Below are 19,686 nucleotides of genomic sequence, written 5' to 3'. Positions count from 1 at the left end.
TCTTTCAATTCATCACCACTTGCAAGACCTCTTCAAAAGACAGTTATGAGGTTTATTGAAGAGATTCTTCACAGCTTGCTTTCTATTTTTTCCTGGCCAAGCAATTTGGTAAGGACACTAGATTAGAAATATTACTTAATAAGAACATCTATTAATAAATAGCGCTTATTATGAACATATCTCCTTTAATCCTCAGAACATTCCCATAACCTAAGTATTATTTCTATATTCATATATGATATGTATTCAATGAGGTTATTGCATACATTACCCAGATCACATATCTAGTAGTGGGGAGATCTAGACTTAGCAGTTATGTAGCTTTGTCTGACCATAAAGTCCGTACTCTTCCTGCTATAGTGTGCTTCCCCCATCATTTCTATTTCTACTGTATTTGTGAACATAGGGCACCCTTCTAAATCCCACTGTCCAAACAGGAGATTTCAAAAACATATCTAGCCATTGGTTTGAACTCTTTGAAAATGAGGCATGTTAAAATCTTGATAATAACAATGCTTGTTTTTCTTTTTAAAATATCCAAGGACTATATATTACCAAATACTTTGCAATGAGTATTAAACTTTTCCTACACTAAGCTTGGGATTGAGCCATTATTCCTTTACTTTTCAACAAGCCATCCCTTCTATTCCTTTTAATTTATTTTCTTCTGATTTTAAATGGCTTTAAGAACTATCTAAATTCATTCCAGAGCTCAAACAACTTAGCCTATAAATTTGTCAGTTCTAACTTTGGGAGTTATAGATCTGTTTAAGAGTCAGATGAAATGCATATAAACACACGCAGGCAGAATTTTGTATAAAATTGACGTTAATGCTTTGGAAAATGATTTTCTTCACACTTGTCAAGCAACTTTCAAAAAAGATACTCATTTCAGGGACTAAACTCACCTCCTAGAGTTGCATGTGCCTAAGCTTCAAATGATGGGTGAACACTAGAAAAATACGAATAAAATCATCTGACAGTACACACACACACACACACACACACACACACACGCACACACACACAACCCTGTTACAGCCCTGTCTAGAGAACTTTATAAACACATGTGAGCCTGACATACTGGTGCACGCCTGTAGCCTGTTACTTGAGTGGCTGAGGCTGGAGGACTGCTTGAGCTCAGGAGTTCAAGTCCAGCCTGAGAAATACAGCAAGATTCTATCTCTTTAAAAAAATTCATAGAATGAGATCATGTCCTTTGCAGGGACATGGATGGAGCTCAAAGCCATTATCCTCAGCAAACTAACGCAGGAACAGAAAACCAAACACCGCATGTTCTCACTTATAAGAAGGAGCTGAACAATGAGAACATGTGGAACACAGGGAAGGAAACAACACACACTGGGGACTGTGGAGGTGAGGGGAGGGAGAGCATCAAGATAAATAGCTAATACATGCAGGGCTTAATACCTACGTGATGGGTTGATAGGTGCAGCAAACTACTATGGCACACATTTACTTGTGTAACAAACTTGCGCATTTGGCACATGTATCTGGAACTTTAAATTAAATTTTTAAAAATCATAATAAATAAATAAGTAATTTTCAAAAACCACATGTGAATTCTGTTTTTAAAAAAACGGCCTGTACCACCAGGGGTACCAGGGATCCCTAATCTCCACCATGGTGAAATATGTCAAACAGATGTTTACAGACACATCTCTTAGCAACATATTCCATTCCTATTAAAACATTTGCAGATCCACATTACAAATGCTTGCAGATAGAGTTATTTGTTAAGGTCCAGAATGTTCAGAGGGAGGGTTTTCTTCTAAACTTCAAGCGCAGCAAGACTTTTTCAAAAGTAAGGCTGTTGGCAAATAAATTGAAGCCCAGAGGATGACATTTTGTCAAAACAATCTGCAAACATTTATTTTGCTGCCACAGTTCAGTTGAAACTAGTTCCTACTGAGATACTGACACTGCTATAATGTTGATTCATGCTTTTGTGGCTTCAAAAATTAATAACCATAACTTTTGTTTTTTAAATGGTTTGGAATTGCCAGCAGTATGCTACCTCCAACTGGCTCTAAATAAAGCAGTTCATGATTTAAACTTGTTCTTAAAGGCAGAAATGCATCTTTCTTTGCAGCTTTGGATCCTAACTGGTTTCTTATGCAACAAAGTGAAGCTAAAGATTGTACCACTGTCACTACCCAGGAAGTGGTGAAATGGAACTTCAGTTTCCCTCAGTGATTAACTCAAAAAACAAAGACTTAATGTCTATGCTATGGTCATTAAATCTTCCATGTTACAAACCAATACTTTAGTATAATGTGTGTGTTCTTCAACACTTTAATCAGACAGAATAACTAAGGCATCCACCCAGCCTCAAAATATCTCTGTAAACCTCCATACTTTGTCTTTAAAGACTTTCACATTTCATATTTAAAATTAATAGTTCTAGGTTTACCTTATTATAAAAATACTCTTTCCAAATACCCAAATAAAAGGGATGTTTCAGGTAAATATATTTATACTGTACTCAACCCCAGAAGTACTTAGAGCCCAGTCTGAAAATTAAGTCTTCTCTGCCTCTATTGAAAAAGGTCCACATCAGTGCCTGTACCATGGCTTGGCAATGGCTTGACCTGAATCCAGGTAAGTATGACCAACTCTTTTGCATCCTTTCAGTTTCTTATCATAATAAAACTATGATTAAAAACTGTAATCACTATTCAATGTCTTTTGTCTATTTTTTGTTTTCCTAGAGAATCCAACTCAAGCCAAAGTAATTATATAGTTCAAAACAACTGTCTTCTAAACCTAGGTGGGCTGTAAACTATTAGGAGAGTAACTCTGGACAGGTCAGCTCTGCCTAAATCCACAGGGTCTGCATCAGTTTTAGGTCTGATACCAATTGGCACAGAATAGAGGGAGAAACAAAGAATTCTGTGGGAAAGGAAGAAACCTAAAAGAAGTCAGCCAAATTTCCAGTCTCTCAAGATTCAGATAGTTACTGTTCAGCTTGATAACTTTATAAACTCCAAGAAAATCAAACATACTATTATTTAATATGTCTAGCTTATCCAATCTCCCTTCAACAGCATGAATAAATAAGAGTTCCTTATGAGTACGCACTGCAGTCTGTAATTCTATCAGGTTATTGATAAATTCACAAACTGTTTATTTTATTTTATTTTACTTTAAGTTCTGGGATACATGTGCTGAACATCAGGTTTGTTACATAGGTATACATGTGCCATGGTGGTTTGCTGCACCTGTCAACCCGTCATTTGGTTTTAAGCCCCACATGCATTAGGAATTTGTCCTAATGCTCTCCCTCCCCTTGCACCCCACTCCCCGAAAGGCCCCAGTGTGTGTTGTTCCACTCCCTGCATCCATGTGTTATCATTATTCAACTCCCACTTACGAGTGAAAATATGCAGTGTTGGGTCTTCTGTTCCCCTGTTAGTTTGCTGAGGATGATGGTTTCCAGCTTCATCCATGTCTCTGCAAAGGACATGAACTCATTCTTTTTTATGGCTGCACAGTATTCCATGCTGTATATGTGCCACATTTTCTATATCCAGTCAATCACTGATGGTCATTTGGGTTGGTTCCAAGTTGTTGCTATTGTAAACAGTACTGCAATAAACATACGTGTGCATGTGTCTTTATAGTACAATGTTTTATAATCCTTTGGGTATATACCCAGTAATGGGATTGCTGGGTCAAATGTTATTTCTGGTTCTAGATCCTTGAGGAATCGCCACACCATCTTCCACAGTGGAACTAATTTACACTCCACCAACAGTGTAAAAGCATTCCTAATTCTCCACATCCTCATTAGCATCTGTTGTTTCCAGACTTTTTAGTGATCACCATTCTAACTGGCATGAGATGGTATCTCATTGTGATTTTGATTTGCATTTCTCTAATGACCAGTGATGATGAGCTTTTTTTATATGTTTCTTGGCCACATAAATGCCTTCTTTTGAGAAGTGTCTGTTCATATCCTTTGCCCACTTTTTGATGGGGTTGTTGGTTTTTTTTTCTTGTAAATTTGTTTAAGTTCCTTGTAGATTCTGGAAATTAGACCTTTGTCAGATGGATAGATTGCAAAAATTTTCTCCCATTCTGTAGGATGCCTGTTCACTCTGGTGATAATTTCTTTTGCTGTGCAGAAGCTCTTTAGTTTAATTAGATCCCATTTATCAATTTTGGCTTTTGTTGCAATTGCTTTTAGTGTTTTACTCATGAAATCTTTGCCCATGCCTATGTCCTGAATGGTATTCCCTAGGTTTTCTTCTGGGGTTTTTACAGTTTTAGGTTTTACATTTAAGTCTTTAATCCATCTGAGTTAATTTTTGTATAAGGTGTAAGGAAGGGGTGCAGTTTCTGTTTTCTTCATATGGCTAGCCAGTTTTCCCAGCACCGTTTATTAAATAGGGAATCCTTTCCCCATTGCTTGTTTTTGTACAGTCTCAAAGATCAGATGGCTGTAGATACGTGGTGTTATTTCTGAGGCCTCTGTTCTGTTCCATTGGTCTATATATCTGTTTTGGTATCAGTAACATGCTGTTTTGGTTACTGTAGCCTTGTAGTTTGAAGTCAGGTAGCATGATGCCTCCAGCTTTGTTCTTTTTGCTTGGGATTGTCTTGGCTATGTGGGCTTTTTTGGTTCCATATGGAATTTAAAGTAGTTTTTTTCTAATTCTGTGAAGAAAGTCAGTGGTGGCTTGATGTGGATAGCACTGAATCTATAAATTACTCTGGGCCATATGGCCATTTTCACGATATTGATTCTTGTATCCATGAGCATGGAATGTTGTTCCATTTGTTTCTGTCCTCTCTTATTTCCTTGAGCAGTGGTTTGTAGTTCTCCTCGAAGAGGTCCTTCATGTCCCTTGTAAGTTGTATTCCTCGGTATTTTATTCTCTTTGTAGCAATTGTGAATGAAAGTTCACTCATGATTTGACTCTCTGTTTGTCTATTTTTGGTGTATGGGAATGCTTGTGATTTTTGCACATTGATTTTGTATCCTGAGACTTTGCTGAAGTTCCTTATCAGCTTAAGGAGTTTTTGGGCTGAGACCATGGGGTTTTCTAAATACACAATCATGTCATCTGCAAACAGAGACAATTTGACTTCCTCTTTTCCTATTTGAATTGAATACCCTTTATTTCCTTCTCTTGCCTGATTGCCCTGGCCAGAAATTCCAATACTATGTTGAATAGGAGTGGTGAGAGAGGGCATCCTTGTCTTGTGCCAGTTTTCAAAGGGAATGCTTCCAGCTTTTGCCCATTCAGTATGATACTGGCTATGGGTTTATCATAAATAGCTCTCATTATTTTGAAATATGTCCCATCGATACCTACTTTATTGAGAGTTTTTAGTATGAAGGGGTGTTGAATTTTTTCAAAGGCCTTTTCTGCATCTATTGAGATAATCATGTGGTTTTTGTCATTGGTTCTGTTTATGTGATGGATTACATTCATTGATTTGCATATGTTGAACCAGCCTTGCATCCCAGGGATGAAGCCAACTTGATCATGGTGGATGAGCTTTTTGATGTGCTGCTTGATTTGGTTTGCCAGTATTTTACTGAGGATTTTCACCTCAATGTTCATCAGGGATATTGGCCTGAAATTTTCTTTTCTTGTTGTGTCTCTGCCAGGTTTTCGAATCAGGATGATGCTGGCCTTATAAAATGAGTTAGGGAGGAGTCCCTCTTCTTCTATTGTTTGTAATAATTTCAGAAGGAATGGTACCAGCTCCTCTTTGTACCTCTGGTAGAATTCAGCTGTGAATCCGTCAGGTCCTGGGCTTTTTTTGGTTTGCAGGCTATTAATTACTGCCTCCAATTTCAGAACTTGTTATTGGTCTATTCAGGGACTCAACTTCTCCCTGATTTAATCTTAGGAGGCTGTACATGTCCAGGAATTTATCCATTTCTTCTAGATTTTCTAGTTTATTTGCTAGAGGTGTTTATAGTATTCTCTGATGGTAGTTGGTATTTCTGTGAGATCAGTGGTGATATCCCCTTTATCAATTTTTATTGTGTCTATTTGATTCTTCTCTCTTTTCTTCTTTATTGGTCTGGCTAGCAGTCAATGTATTTTGTTAATCTTTTCAAAAAACCAGCTCCCGCAATCATTGATTTTTTGAAGGGTTTTTCGTGTCTCTATCTCCTTCTCTCTCTCTCTCTCTCTCTCTCTCTCTCTCTCTCTCTCTCTCACAGCCTTGCACATTTGCTCAGGCTCCTCATTGCTGAGTGAGGGCAGTTCTGCTCTGATCTTAGTTATTTCTTTTCTTCTGCTAGCTTTTAAATTTGTTTGCTCTCGCTTCTCTAGTTCTTTTAATTGTGATGTTAGGGTATCAATTTTAGATCTTTCCCGCTTTCTCCTTTGGGCATTGAGTGCTATAAATTTCCCTCTAAACACTGCTTTAGCTGTGTCCCAGAGATTCCAGTATGTTTTGTCTTTGTTCTCATAGGTTTCAAAGAACTTTACTTCTGCCTTAATTTCGTTATTTACCCAAGTAGTCATTCAGGAGCAGGTTGTTCAGTTTCCACATACATGGTTTTGAGTGAGTTTCTTCATCCTGAGTTCTAATTTGATTGCACTGTGGTCTGAGAGACTGTTATGATTTCCATTCTTTTGCATTTGCTAAGGAGTGTTTTACTTCCAATTATGTGATCGATTTTAGAGTAAGTGCTACGTGGTGCTCAGAAGAATGTATATTCTGTTAATTTGGGGTGGAGAGTTTTGTAGATGTCTATTAGGTCTGCTTGGTCCATAGCTGAGTTCAAGTTGTGAATATCCTTGTTAATTTTCTGTCTCGTTGATCTGTCTAATATTGACAGTGGGGTGTTAAAGTCTCCCACTATTACTGTGTGGGAGTCTAAGTCTCTTTGTAAGTCTCTAAGAACTTGTTTTATAAATCTGGGTGCTCCTGTATTGGGTGCATATATATTTAGGATAGTTAGCTCTTCTTGTTGCATTGATCCCTTTACCATTATGTAATGCCCTTCTTTGTCTTTTTTGATCTTTTTTGGCTTAAAGCCTGTTTTATCAGAGACTACGATTGCAACCCCTAAGTTTTGTTGTTTGTTTGTTTTTTGCTTTCCATTTGCTTGGTAAATATTCCTCCATCCCTTTATTTTGAGCGTATGTGTGTCTTTGCACATGAGATGGGTCTCCTGAATATAGCACACCAATGGGTCTTGACTCTTTATCCAATTTGGCAGTCTGTGCCTTTTGGGGCACTTAGCCCATTTACATTTAAGGTTAATATTGTTATGTGTGAATTTGATCTTGTCATCATGATGCTAGCTGGTTATTTTGCACATTAGTTAATGCAGTTTCTTCATAGTGTCCCTGGTCTCTATATTTTGGTGTGTTTTTGCAGTGGCTAGTACCGATTTTTCTTTTCCATATTTAGTGCTTTCTTCAGGAGCTCCTGTAAGGCAGGCCTGGTGGTGACAAAATCCCTCAGCATTTATGCAAAGGATTTTATTTCTCCTTTGCTTATGAAACTTAGTTTGGCTGGATATGAAATTCTGGGTTGAAAATTCTTTTCTTTAAAACTATTGAATATTGGGCCCCACTCTCTTCTGGCTTGTAGGGTTTCTGCAGAGAGATCTGCTGTTAGTCTGATAGGTTTCCTTTTGTAGGTAACCAGACCTTTCTCTCTGGCTGCCCTTTAACATTCTTTTTTCCTTCATTTCAAGCTTAGAGAATCTGACAATTATGTGTCTTGGGGTTGCTCTTCTTGAAGAGTATCTTAGTAGTGTTCTTTGTATTTCCTGAATTTGAATGTTGGTCTGTCTTGCTAGGTTGGGGAGGTTCTCCTGGATAATATCCTTAAGTATGTTTTCCAATTTGGTTCCATTCTCCCCATCACTTTCAGGGACCCCAATCAATCATAGGTTTGGTCTTTTCACAGAGTCCCATATTTCTTGGAGGTTTTGTTCATTCCTTTTCATTCTTTTTTCTCTAATCTTGTCTTCATGCTTTATTTCATTAAGTTCATCTTCAATCTCTGATATCCTTTCTTCTGCTTGATTGATTTGGCTATGGATACTTGTATATGCTTCACGAAGTTCTCGTGCTGTGTTTCTCAGATCCATCAGGTCATTTATGTTCTTCTCTAAACTGGTTATTCTAGTTAGTAGTTCCTGTAACCTTTTGTCAAGGTTCTTAGAGTCCTTGCATTGGGTTAGAACATGCTTCTTTAGCTCAGAGGGGTTTATTATTACCCACTTTCTGAAGCCTACTTCTGTCAATTCATCAAACTCATTCGGTGTCCCATTTTGTGCCCTTGCTGGAAAGGAGTTGCGATCATTTGAAGGAGAAGAGGCATTCTGGTTTTGGGAATTTTCAGCATTTTTGCGCTGGTTTTTCCTCATCTTCATGGATTTATCTGCCTTTGATCCTTGAGACTGATGACATTTGGATGGGGTTTCTGTGTGTGGGGGTCCTTTTTGTTGATGTTGACGTTATTGCTTCTTGTTTTGTTAGTTTTCATTCCAACAGCCAGGCCCCTCTCCTCTAGGTCTGCTGGAGTTTGCTGGAGGTCCATTCCAGACCCTATTTGCCTGGTATCACCAGCGGAGTCTGCAGAACAGCAAAGATTCCTGCCTGCTCCTTCCTCCTGTATGAGGTGTCTGTCAACCCCTGTTGGGAGGTCTCTCTCAGTCAGGAGGCATGCAGGTCAGGGACCCACGTGAGGAGGCAGTCTGTCCCTTAGCAGAGCTCAAGTACCACGCTGGGAGAACCCTCCTTGTCAGGATCCACTGGTCTCTTCAGAGCCGGCAGGCAGGAATGTTTAAGTCCACTGAAGCTGCACCCACAGCCACCCCTTCTCCCAGGTGCTCTGCCCTAGGGAGATGGGAGTTTTATTTATAAGCCCCTGACTGGGGCTCTTGCCTTTCTTTCAGAGATGCCCTGCCCAGTGAAGAGGAATCTAGAAAGGCAGTCTAGCCACAGCCACTTTGCTGTGCTGTGTTGAGTTACGTCCAGTCCTTAGCATGGTCAGGGGAAAGCCACCTACTCAAGCCTCAGTAATGGTGGATGCCCCTGCCTCCACCAAGCTTGAGCGTCCCAGGTCGACTTCAGACTGCTGTGCTGGCAGCAAGAATTTCAAGCCAGTGGTTCTTAGCTTGCTGGGCTCTGTGGGAGTAGGATCCACTGCAGGAGATCACTTGGCTCCCTGGCTTCAGCCCCCTTTCTAGGGGAGAAAACGGTTTTGTCTCACTGGGGTTCCTAGGCACCACTGGGGTTCCAGGAACTACTGGGGTACGAAAAAAACACACGTGCAGCTAGCCTGGCATCTATCCAAACAGCAGCCCAGTTTTGTGCTTGAAACCCAGAGCCCTGGTGGTGTAGGCACACAAGGGAATCTCCTGGTCTGCGGATTGCAAAAACCATGGGAGAAGCGTAGTATCTGGGCCAGATAGCACAGTCCCTCACGGCTTTCCTTGGCTAGGGGAGGGAGTCCCCCGGCCCCTTGCACTTCCTGGGTGAGGCGACAACCCCCTCTGCTTCTGCTCACCCTCCATGGGCTGCACCCCCTGTCTAACCAGTCCCAGTGAGATGAACTGGCTACCTCAGTTGGAAATGCAGCAATCACCCGCCTTCTGCATTGGTCTCGCTGGGAGCTACAGACTGGAGCTCTTCCTATTTGGCCATTTTGCCAGATCTCCATAAACTCTTAATGACTATTATGTGCCAGTAACTGTGCACACTATAGTGCTCTGGATGGGCTTATATCCCAAAAGGGAAAAATCCACATGTAATGAGATCATTACAGTAATTGTGTTTTGATTTATTCATTTGTCAATAAACATTTATTAAACAACTACTATGTATATTGAGCCCCTACTAGGCACTGTGTTAGGGTCTATAACAGAACAATGTGGTATATGATTTTTTTTCTCAAAGCACTTCGGAAGCCTACAAGTATAGACTTCAGTTGGCTTGAGCATATAACATGAAAATGTGGCAAGAGAAGAGAAAGAAGACTATAAGAGTATATAGTAGATAAATCCTGAATGGCCCTATATACTTTGATAAGGCATTTAGACTTTATCCTATCATATGAATAGAAAAGTATTGAGGGCTGCAAGCAGGGAGTGGCAGAATCAGGTGTGTGTTTTAGAAGGCTATCTAGGGCAGTGCCATAGTTGGGGCAGTGTAAGAGGGAGGGTATTCAGCAGTTCTTTCCACACCTATCAAGTTATGATTAGTAGTTGTGGGCACCTATACAAGCTGACTGCTCTTTGCATCTTGACACTTTGGTTTTTATTGATTCCACACACCTTGAGAATACTTCCGTTTGTTTGCTATAATTCACGGTAGGCAACCTTGTTTCAAAGGTGTACTCAACATTTATTTTGCAGCTCTGCTCATGAATGCACTGCTTCCATTTATCAGACAACATCTGAAAAGATTACCTTATTTTCACCCATACTCTCTATCTAAACTAATTTGTAGCAAATCTAACTATAGCATTTCCTGCCATAACCCAATCAATGATGGTGGTGCTGCTGCTGTTGACGATTTAACAAGGCAATCAAAAATCACAGACTTCCATTTCCTCAGCTACTCTCATTCTATATTCACCACAATTAACCCTTGGTAACCAGTTATACTGAAGTATCTTTAAGAGCTTTTTGAATTGTTGAATGCAAAATCAAAACCAAGCTTTTAACCAGACAACACCTGTGTTTTCCAACCAGGTCTCATCAGCGATTCACCTTAAATAATTAAAAACACAGATTACCAGGTCTGAGTCTCAGTGAGGCATGGGGTGAAGGGGGAAATCAGAAATGTGTATAAAATGCATGTGCATACAATGCCCTGGGTGAGGTTATGAATTAGGCTAATTTGGTAAACCCTAGATGGAAGCTACTGTAGTAAGTTCCTTATAATTAAGGCAGCATTAAGCACATATTTTTTCTTTTAAATACTTTAATGAAACTTAGGCAATCACTTTAAGTAATTGCCACCCATTTAATGTTTACTGAAACAGTTTACAACTAATTCACATGCCATTTTCTAAATGCTTCAGGCTTACTTGGCTTTCCTACCGCGCATTAAACAGTTTGTTAACCATTAATAAAGAGTGAAGAAAAATCAGAATCTGGAGGTCATTTTAACAGTTAAAAGGGTCACTGAGAAGCATGACTTATAATTAGCAAAATACATGTGAGCTCCTTATGACATTAACCAGAACCTTATGATCCATTCTTTAAAGCAAGAGCAGGCGAAGAAAAAGCAACATCTTTCCTAAAATAAGTCACCTTTTCTTTTTGATCACTGTCAATCAGAAAAATTCTATTTTTGCAGGTAACTGAGTTATTTGTGAAGTGGCACTCTAATAAATGAACTCAGCATAAAATGTATCAAAATGAAAAATAAAAATTGCTAACTTTCATTATGCAATTACTATCCTTAGTGCTTAGTCTCCATTCAAATTCAAAGTTCTTTGCATTTAATTTTTTCCATTTAATAATGCTAGGTATTATTATGATTTTTTTTTTTGAGACGGAGTCTCACTCTGTTGCCAAACTGGAGTGCAGTGGCGCAATCTCAGCTCACTGCAACCCCCGCCTCCTGGGTTCAAGCAATTATCCTGCCTCAGCCTCCTGAGTAGCTGGGACTACAGGTGCAAGCACCACCACGTCTGGCTAATTTTTGTATTTTTAGTAGAGACAGGGTTTCACCATGTTGGCCAGGATGGTCTCAATCTCTTGACCTCATGATCCACCCGCCTCAGCCTCCCAAAGTGCTGGGATTACAGGTGTGAGCCACCGCGCCCAGCCTATTATCCCATTTTATAGACAAGAAAACAGAGGCACAGAAAGCTAACTAACTGCTCAAGGTCAGACAGCTAACAAATAGCAAAGACAGAAACTGAAACCAGGAAGTCTGACTTCAGAACCTATGCTCTTAACCACCCTGGTGTACTGTCACTAAGAGAATTAGGGACTTGAACTGAGTCCCTGTGGAGCTCCCTAAAGAGGTAGAGGAGCTATAACAAGAAACATAGGAAGGAATGGTTGTTGAAAACAAGTCCAGCTTGCAAATCAGTATCCAATTCACTACTGAGTGCCTACTATGTGTTGGACACTGCACTCAATGCTTTAGGAAATATTACTATAAAGATAAATAAGGCAGAGTGCCTTCTCATCTTCATTGCTTCTTCAATTGTCAGCTCTTCCATAAAACCTCCCCTGGCTCTGAACACTGTAATACCACTTTTCACACTGCATTATAAAATCTTCATATGTCTGTCTCTCCTCCCATTAGGCTATAAGTTCCTTGGCCCATGCGGGAATAGACGCCACGTGTTAGCTCCTTTTCCAGTTCCTAGATTCCTCGTACAGTGTGCCTGGACACACTGCTGTCTCTCTGTAGATGTTTTATGAATGCATGAACAGATGAAACACAGAGGACACGGAAGTGAAATAATATGCTCTGAGATTCACAGTGTGCTAGTGGTAAAGATGGGGAAAGGTTTTGCATATCCCAGCTCTACTCCAAAGTTCTGTCTAATATAACACATGCATCACACTAGTATCTTTTGCTAAAACTGCATGATTTAACATTTTAGCATACATTATGAAAAAAATGCTCACATTTCATCTTTATGCTTCATCTTTCATTTAACATGCTAAACCCTTATAAACAGGTGCCATTGCATACCTCACTCACTGTGTCAGGCCATGCTAAAGGGACAGTTGCAATTGAATCTTTAGAATGGAACAGACCTCTTAAGTAGCTCAATCTAAAAATGAAGGTTTAGATAGATTAAGTCAATCACCAAAGGTTACACTGCTAGTAAGAGACAGAACTGGAACTTAAATCTAACTGAAAATCCCACACTAGTAATAATTGTGCTATTTTTGTGCATTCAAAGATCCAAATCCCAACTTCACCACCTACTAGTTATGTGACCTTGGAAAAATTATTTAATTCCTCTGAGCCTCATTCTTTGAGGCAAGTAATTGAGAACTCACAGAAATGATAAGGGTTAAATAAGCTCATGAATGTAAGGTGTCAGTCACATAGTAGGTATTCAACAAATATGTATTGATATTCCCATCAAATAAGATTCTGCCCAGTAACTGAGCATATTTGTTAACAATTGATTTAGATAATATAACTTCTATTAATTGCAGTGCTATTAAAACAACTATGCTGGAATTTATTTCCCAACTAAAGAGTTCCAAGTTGTCCACAAAATTAAAATTTTGTAAAAGTAAGGTTTTTCAGTAAATACAGACAGCTATAGATTAAGACTCCTCTAAGACAACTTTTACTATCTCTTTTTAATCAGTAGAGATTCTAAAATACAAAGGTCAAAACCTTGCCCAAGGCTGAATCAGTCATTGAGAATCTGGACCCAGAATTTGGTCACATGTTCTCACTTAATCATAGCTGGCTTACTTCCACACTAAGGTATAGTTCCTTTTATAACAGCAATTATGTGACAATTAATTTTATGTGTCAACTTGACTGGGCTAAGGAATGCCCAGACAGCTGGTAAAACATTATTTCTAGGTTTGCCTCTTCTGAACGAGATCAGCATTTGAATCAGTAGACTGAGTAAAGAAGGTTGCCCAACCAATGTGCTTGGACATCATCCAATTTGGTGAGGGACAAAATCAAACAAAAAGATGGCGGAAAGGTGAATTCACCTTTGTGTTTAAGCTGGGGCATTCATCTTCTCCTGCTCTCAGACATCAGCACTCCTGGTTCTTGGGCTTTCAGACTCACACCAGGACATTGGCCCCCCAATTCTCAGGCTTTTGGATTCAGAATGAATTACACCACTGGCTTTCCCTGGTCTCAAGCTTGCAGACAGCAGACTGTGGGACTTTTCAGCCTCCATAATTACAACAGCCAATTCCTATAATAAATATATATACGCACATGTATATCTCCATATACCCTCTTGGTTCTGTTTCTCTGGAGAACCCTAATACAACTTCCCATATGAAACAGAGTTTCTACCCAGTAAAGGAAGAATTCAGAAGATGTAATTTCACATTCAGCCTCTGCCACATACTAGCTCTATGAATCAGGCCAAAGTTTCTTCATCGATGGAATGGGAATGAAATAGCTTTTTCAAGTAATTGTTATGGGGATTAAATAAGACAATGCATAGGAATAGGCCTAGGACAGAATCAAGAATATAATAGGCATTCAACAGATGTTGATGAAACTGAATCTGGGGTTTTCAAGATGCAGGCAAGTGTCAGTGTTTTTATTGCAAGTACTTAAATACAGAGAAGAAAGGAAGGACGGAGGGAGGGAGGAAGGGAGGGAAAAAAGGAAAAAAGGGAGGGAGGGGAAGAAGAAAGGGAAGTAAAAGAAGAAGACGAAGGGAAGAAAAAGAGATGTGAAAAACACCTAGCTGGGATGCTATAGCTGCAATTCTGTTTAGAAGGAGCAGGAAGACTTCAAAGTCACACAAAAGCCTATGATTTTGATCCTGAATTACAATGTTAAATTACGGCCTCCCATCTTATTCTTTCTGCTCATCCTAACAGAAACTGTGATTCCCAAGGAGCTAATCAAAAACTGAAACACAGTAGTCATGAAGAGATTCATCTGTGTAGACAGGAAGAGTTGTTTTTCAAGAGGAGGTCCATTAGCAAGACAACAGAAGATAAAAAGTGCCTTTAAGCATGAACAACAAAGAATCTGCAAACATTCTTGACAGAGAGACAGGGATATGTGTGAAATGCTAATAGGCATACTGATTTGCTGTGAAATAAACCTTACAACTGTGCAAATGCCATTTGGGCTACATTTTATTATAGATGACCAATCTGCTTTTCTTTACTCACAATGAAGCATTACATGAGTAATCAATAAACTCCTCTACCTCCCTTCTTACCATTTCTCTCCCTCCCTTGCCCAGCTAAATCCTCAGATTTGTATCTGTAATGTGCCTCACCTTACAAGCTATATAACTTAAGATCACTACCACATTCGCAGAAGAGACTAAAGCAGAGGAAAATGAGGTCTGATGGAAATTACTTTATGGAGAGAAAAAGACTGGCACAGCCTGATTTTTATACTTTCCTTAATGGCAGATGGTAAGCCCCATTTATAACAGAATATTGTAAACATCAGAAAAAAGTGATTACTACAAAAAGTGAAAAAGTCTAAGGAGACATAACGGAGCTTGAAAAACAATCTGTCTAAAATCCATTTACCAAAATCTATACTTGGGTAGAGTATAGACTTTGATGTTTTCCATCCCCAAAATACCCTATTTAGGCCTAACATGACATTATCCTCTTTTCCTATATGATTGCCAAGTTCCAATTTTAGTGTTACCTAAGAGTTACACATTGAAGGCTGGGGCATCATTGCCCTTGAAGGTCACCATTGAAATGATGTGTGTCTAGATGTGTGTCCCATCTAGAAACAGGCTGTCAAAAACTACACATTCAAGACCTAGTGCCTCTCTTCCAGAATCACAGCACACCAGGAGTGAACACTGCAGGTAGCGCACATCAAAGAGAATGAGCTACAGGCAACCCCATTAGGTTCAAGATTCACAGCTCATTTCCATACCTTCCCTTTGCAACACAGTTTGCTGCTTTATACTTTTAAAGGTAATTTTCATTGATAAGGGATACCTGTTACCTTCATACTCTGTGGAAGTAAGCAAAGAATCATTATGAGCATAGAGAAAAATCAGAGTCACAGAATTTTAGGTCTGGAAGGGACCTTTTAAGTTATATAGAAATATCATTTTATAAGTAAGAAGACAGAGGTTCAGAAACATTAAGGGACTTGTCCAGGCTCAGCAAGTTACTAGCAGAATCAAGATTTTTAAAAAATCATTATTCTTAGTGCATTGCTCTCTCTACCACTTAAACATACTTTATTAATAGCCTGATTGTTTCTGAAATTTTAAAATACTTCCTTTGCTAAGACTGAAAAAAAATCATCTCTATTTCCAAAGCTCAGAAGACTAAATATACAGCCTCAGACTCATATATGTAACCCCTCCCCATTTCTACAATTATCAATGCCCTTCCTATCTTGCAACTGAAATAAAATAACATCCTACTAAGCTATGCCATCTTTTGCAGTGCACCAAACATCAAATATAGAGAATAAAACTAAGACTGCCTTACTTTTGACTTATAGAAAGTGCTCTTCAGAAGTTTGGTGGGGAAGATGACAGATGACAAGGATTCTCTGCCTAAGCTTAAGGACCTGGCATTTCTCGAGAACCAGCTGGATTGCCTGCAGCGGCACATGGAAGACAAAGTCAACAGCAGAGGTGGCTGGGATGGCTCGCTATTGTCCTCCCCATTCCTCAAGGGATTCCTGGCTGGCTGTGGTGGCCAAACTGAAGACATCAGCTGTATTGGGCTTTGCAAGGGGCACCTGCGCTGGCAATCTGTGCAGCTCAGGCTATGCTGTGCCCAACATGGAGATGACATTGAAAGACTGACTATTTGCAGTCACTATGCAAGAGCCCGAATAGCTCTAGATGCTATGAGGGAGGCAGAATAAGGAGCTGGGGCCTGCAGGTAGAGACACTACTATCTGGATTCCCTGGCTGTCATCCATTTTTTCTCCAACTTTCATGCCGCCTTTATCCTTGCCTCCCTTCCTGCAGAGTGTGCACAGCACCTTGTCAGCCTGCACCCTAGATTCCTTCTTCCCTCTCCTAACTCCGTCAGACTGGCCCCAAGACTGTGGCTTCAAGGGCCACCAGTCCCTTACTCTTCAAGCCCTGACTATGGAGTTGGCAGATGACTCTGATCCTCAGTATCCTCTCTGGCAATGTTCCACGGCTCCTCCCTACTGGGAGGTGGCTCCATAACTTGATTTCCCGTAAATATGTTGCAATCCCACTCCCCTTGCTAACTACACCAGCCACCCAAGGTCTGGTGTGGGTATGAGTGTAATGGACCTTGATGCTGCTCCTATCTACTGCCACGTGTGGTGCCCATCCCCCATGCTGGCACTGTGCCATGTGGACAGCCAGGTGTCCTTCCAGCCCTCCTCAGCTGTGGAGCTGAGTTGACCAAGCTACTGTTAAGCACCTTCTCCCTTCTAGTGGGCTGGCAAGCATGGCTGTAGGGGGCCCCCACTCTGGCACTAAGCTGCTCCCTTCACATGATCAGCCCTGATCTATGGCACTAACAACAACCTGGTGATCTATCTTCAGTGTGACATGGACCCCAGCACCTACCACGTGCTGAGCAATCTCAAGATTGGAAGCGGGCCCTGTTCCACTGTCTCTGCCTCCAGCACTGCTTCTCTGCACCTCAGGGGTTTGCACTGCTGCTGCAGATGGCTGCGGGGGTCTGCTATCCACCAGATGGCCTGTAAGACCTTCGAAACACCCTTCCCAGGCCCCCTCCAGAAGCTGCTGCCAGCCCCATGCCCCTACATATCACTCCGCTGGGCCTGCTGCTCCTCATCCTGGACTGCCTCATCTCAAGCCTGTCGTCACTGCATACAGAGCTGCTCATGAAGAGACGGCAGCTGCCCCTGGCACTTCAGAATGTCTTCCTCTACACCTTTGGTGTGCTCCTGAATCTAGATCTGCATGCCGCTAGTGGCCCCGGCCCAGGCCTCCTGGAAGGCTTGTCAGCATGGGCAGAACTTGTGGTGCTGAGGCAGGGCTAAATGGACTGCTCCTGTCATGTCCGCTGTCATGAAGCACAGCAGCAGCATCCCATGCCTCTTCGTTGTGTCCTGCTCACTGGTGGTCAATGCCGTGCTCTCAGCAGTCCTGCTGTGGCTGCAGCTCACAGCCACCTTCTTCCTGGCCATGCTGCTCATCATTAGCCTGGCCGTGTGCCCGTGCTATGGCAGACGCTAGTCCCTGACCTCCTTCACCCTGACTCCAGACCCTGTATATTGGGTGCCACCATCAGAGCCCCCTCCCAGGCTTCCCTTCCACTTCCCTCAGCAGTCCAGTAACAACTGCCTTGTGAGAAAAGCTGGAGAAGTGAGAGGAGTCAGGTTATTCTCTGCAGATGTGCAGATGAAGGGGTAGCCCTAGGAGACATGAAAAATGGGTTTGATTAAGGAAATTCTTAACATCCTCCTGCCCTCTCATCAAGTTCTTCCAGACTAAAGAATTAAGAAAACATCAATACCTGGGCCTGAGAAATGATCCTATCCCTGCCTCATCCTGCATGAAAGCAGTTAATCAAAATGGGGTGTGCGCAACAAGTGGCTTTCCTTCCCTACTTTGGTCACCCCAGCAGAGCCACTGCCCCAACGCCCTCTGGCTGGCTGCTCCAGCCCAGCCCTGGTGTATGACTCTCCCATAAGGGACATTCAACCTCCCACTCTCATGCAGGAAGGACCAACTGCCACGGATTATACAAACATTACCCCAGCCACTCTGACAATCTCCCTCAGTTCCAGCAATGCCTAGAGACATGCCCCCTGCCCTCTCCACAACGCTGGCTCCCCAAATCAAGCCTTTGTTCTGGAAACCCCAGAGAGGGTTGGGGCTTGACTCATCTCAGAGAATATTGGCCCTGGGCCCTGGCTTAAGCCTACACTCCTGACCTCTCTGATCATCCTGAGAGCCATCTTGAAGCCCACAGCCTACTCGGAGGCTTATAGGAGGTACCATGCTTCTTATTCTGGGTCCTGTCCAGGCCAAGCAGTCTCCCAGCTCCCAACAGCCTGGGGAAGCTCTACACAGAGCATCCTGAGACCAAGTACAGGTCTCTCAATGTCTGACCAGGTACCTGTAGCTCAATCAATGTCTTTTCAATTACATAAGCAGTAAGGTCTTAATAAAGTGTTCTAGGGTGTACAGTGGTTCCTACAACCACACACACACAAAAGTGCTACTCATTTCCTTAGCACCTGTCTCCAAATGCCCTATTTCCTATGGCCTAAACAATAGAAAGACTGGTCAGTAGTCAATTGGCTGAAGTCATATATCCTTCACACCACTTTTCTGCCTCATGGATAGCAAAAATGAGAGTCTCTTAACTCAGCTAATTCCACAGTTCATTCAAACTCAAGATAAAACTTTTCTCTGAAAATACAAATGAGGCTCACATTATGAACACCTAGATGTGTTAGATGTCCTCCTTCAGAAAAGCTGTTATGAAAATAAACATAATAGCTAGAGTAATAAATAAAATTTGCTAAGATTTCCCTAAAGTTGAACCCTAGAGAACATTTTCAGCAGAAGAGTTAAAGGAGTTTCCAATGGAAAGAATGAGCACATAAACTGAAGATAGAGCCAATCAATGAAATGAAACTGGCCACTCATCTACGAGGCCAGAAGAATGAAAACCAAATCCCAACTCATCATCAGAAACCCTTCTCCAAACTAGGAAGCACAGATCCTACCCATATCTGAACCTGAACTACTTCCCATTGACACTTTCTAACCTAGAGATGGCCCCAGCATCCAACTGATAAAACATTTTCCAGGATGTGAAACTTGCCATAGGAAAACTGAATCTCTTTTCCTATGTTGTTGACTGTGTAAGCAAAGGACTCTCACTGTTACCAGAAGAGCTACATAATTTCTCTGAAAAGTGTGGAATACACATTTGACCATATTTATAAATTTGGTGACTCATAAAACTATTCTTTTAAAAATTGATAAATTTTACTTTTAAGCATCAATAAGTACTATAAAACACCATCAACCTTAATGGTTGAACTCAACCCTTAAAACACAGTCTTTCACAAG

General features: G+C 41.0%; 1 protein-coding gene and 2 pseudogenes across 9 annotated transcripts in view, besides 2 other annotated features; 2 read left to right on the top strand and 1 right to left on the bottom strand.

The window, feature by feature from the left end:
• The window catches only part of SLC4A4 (solute carrier family 4 member 4), a 509,424-nt gene that overhangs the window by 253,992 nt on the left and 235,746 nt on the right, over positions 1–19,686 (bottom strand). The gene's annotated exons all lie outside the window — the stretch shown is intronic.
• Positions 11,810–11,979: a silencer, noted in NCBI's record as "silent region_15475". NCBI's record gives its function as "represses an Ori minimal core promoter by ATAC-STARR-seq in GM12878 lymphoblastoid cells {active_cell/tissue: GM12878}" and the evidence as "EXISTENCE:reporter gene assay evidence [ECO:0000049][PMID:35858748]".
• LOC124900836 (SLC35A4 upstream open reading frame protein-like) lies at positions 16,158–16,827 on the top strand (annotated as a pseudogene). The gene is made up of 2 exons (XR_007058427.1): positions 16,158–16,531; positions 16,621–16,827. The product of XR_007058427.1 is annotated as an SLC35A4 upstream open reading frame protein-like (transcript).
• On the top strand, positions 16,913–17,835 carry LOC107986208 (probable UDP-sugar transporter protein SLC35A4; annotated as a pseudogene).
• Positions 17,457–17,958: an enhancer, noted in NCBI's record as "H3K4me1 hESC enhancer chr4:72165851-72166352 (GRCh37/hg19 assembly coordinates)". NCBI's record gives its function as "activates a minimal SCP1, AML or CMV promoter by ChIP-STARR-seq in naive H9 embryonic stem cells {active_cell/tissue: H9 hESC(naive)}" and the evidence as "EXISTENCE:reporter gene assay evidence [ECO:0000049][PMID:30033119]".

This window comes from Homo sapiens, chromosome 4 (assembly GCF_000001405.40).
Source record: "Homo sapiens chromosome 4, GRCh38.p14 Primary Assembly".
Classification (NCBI taxonomy): Eukaryota; Metazoa; Chordata; class Mammalia; order Primates; family Hominidae; genus Homo; species Homo sapiens.
Note: the sequence above shows the minus strand (reverse complement) of the source record. Positions and strands in the feature narration are given on the sequence as shown.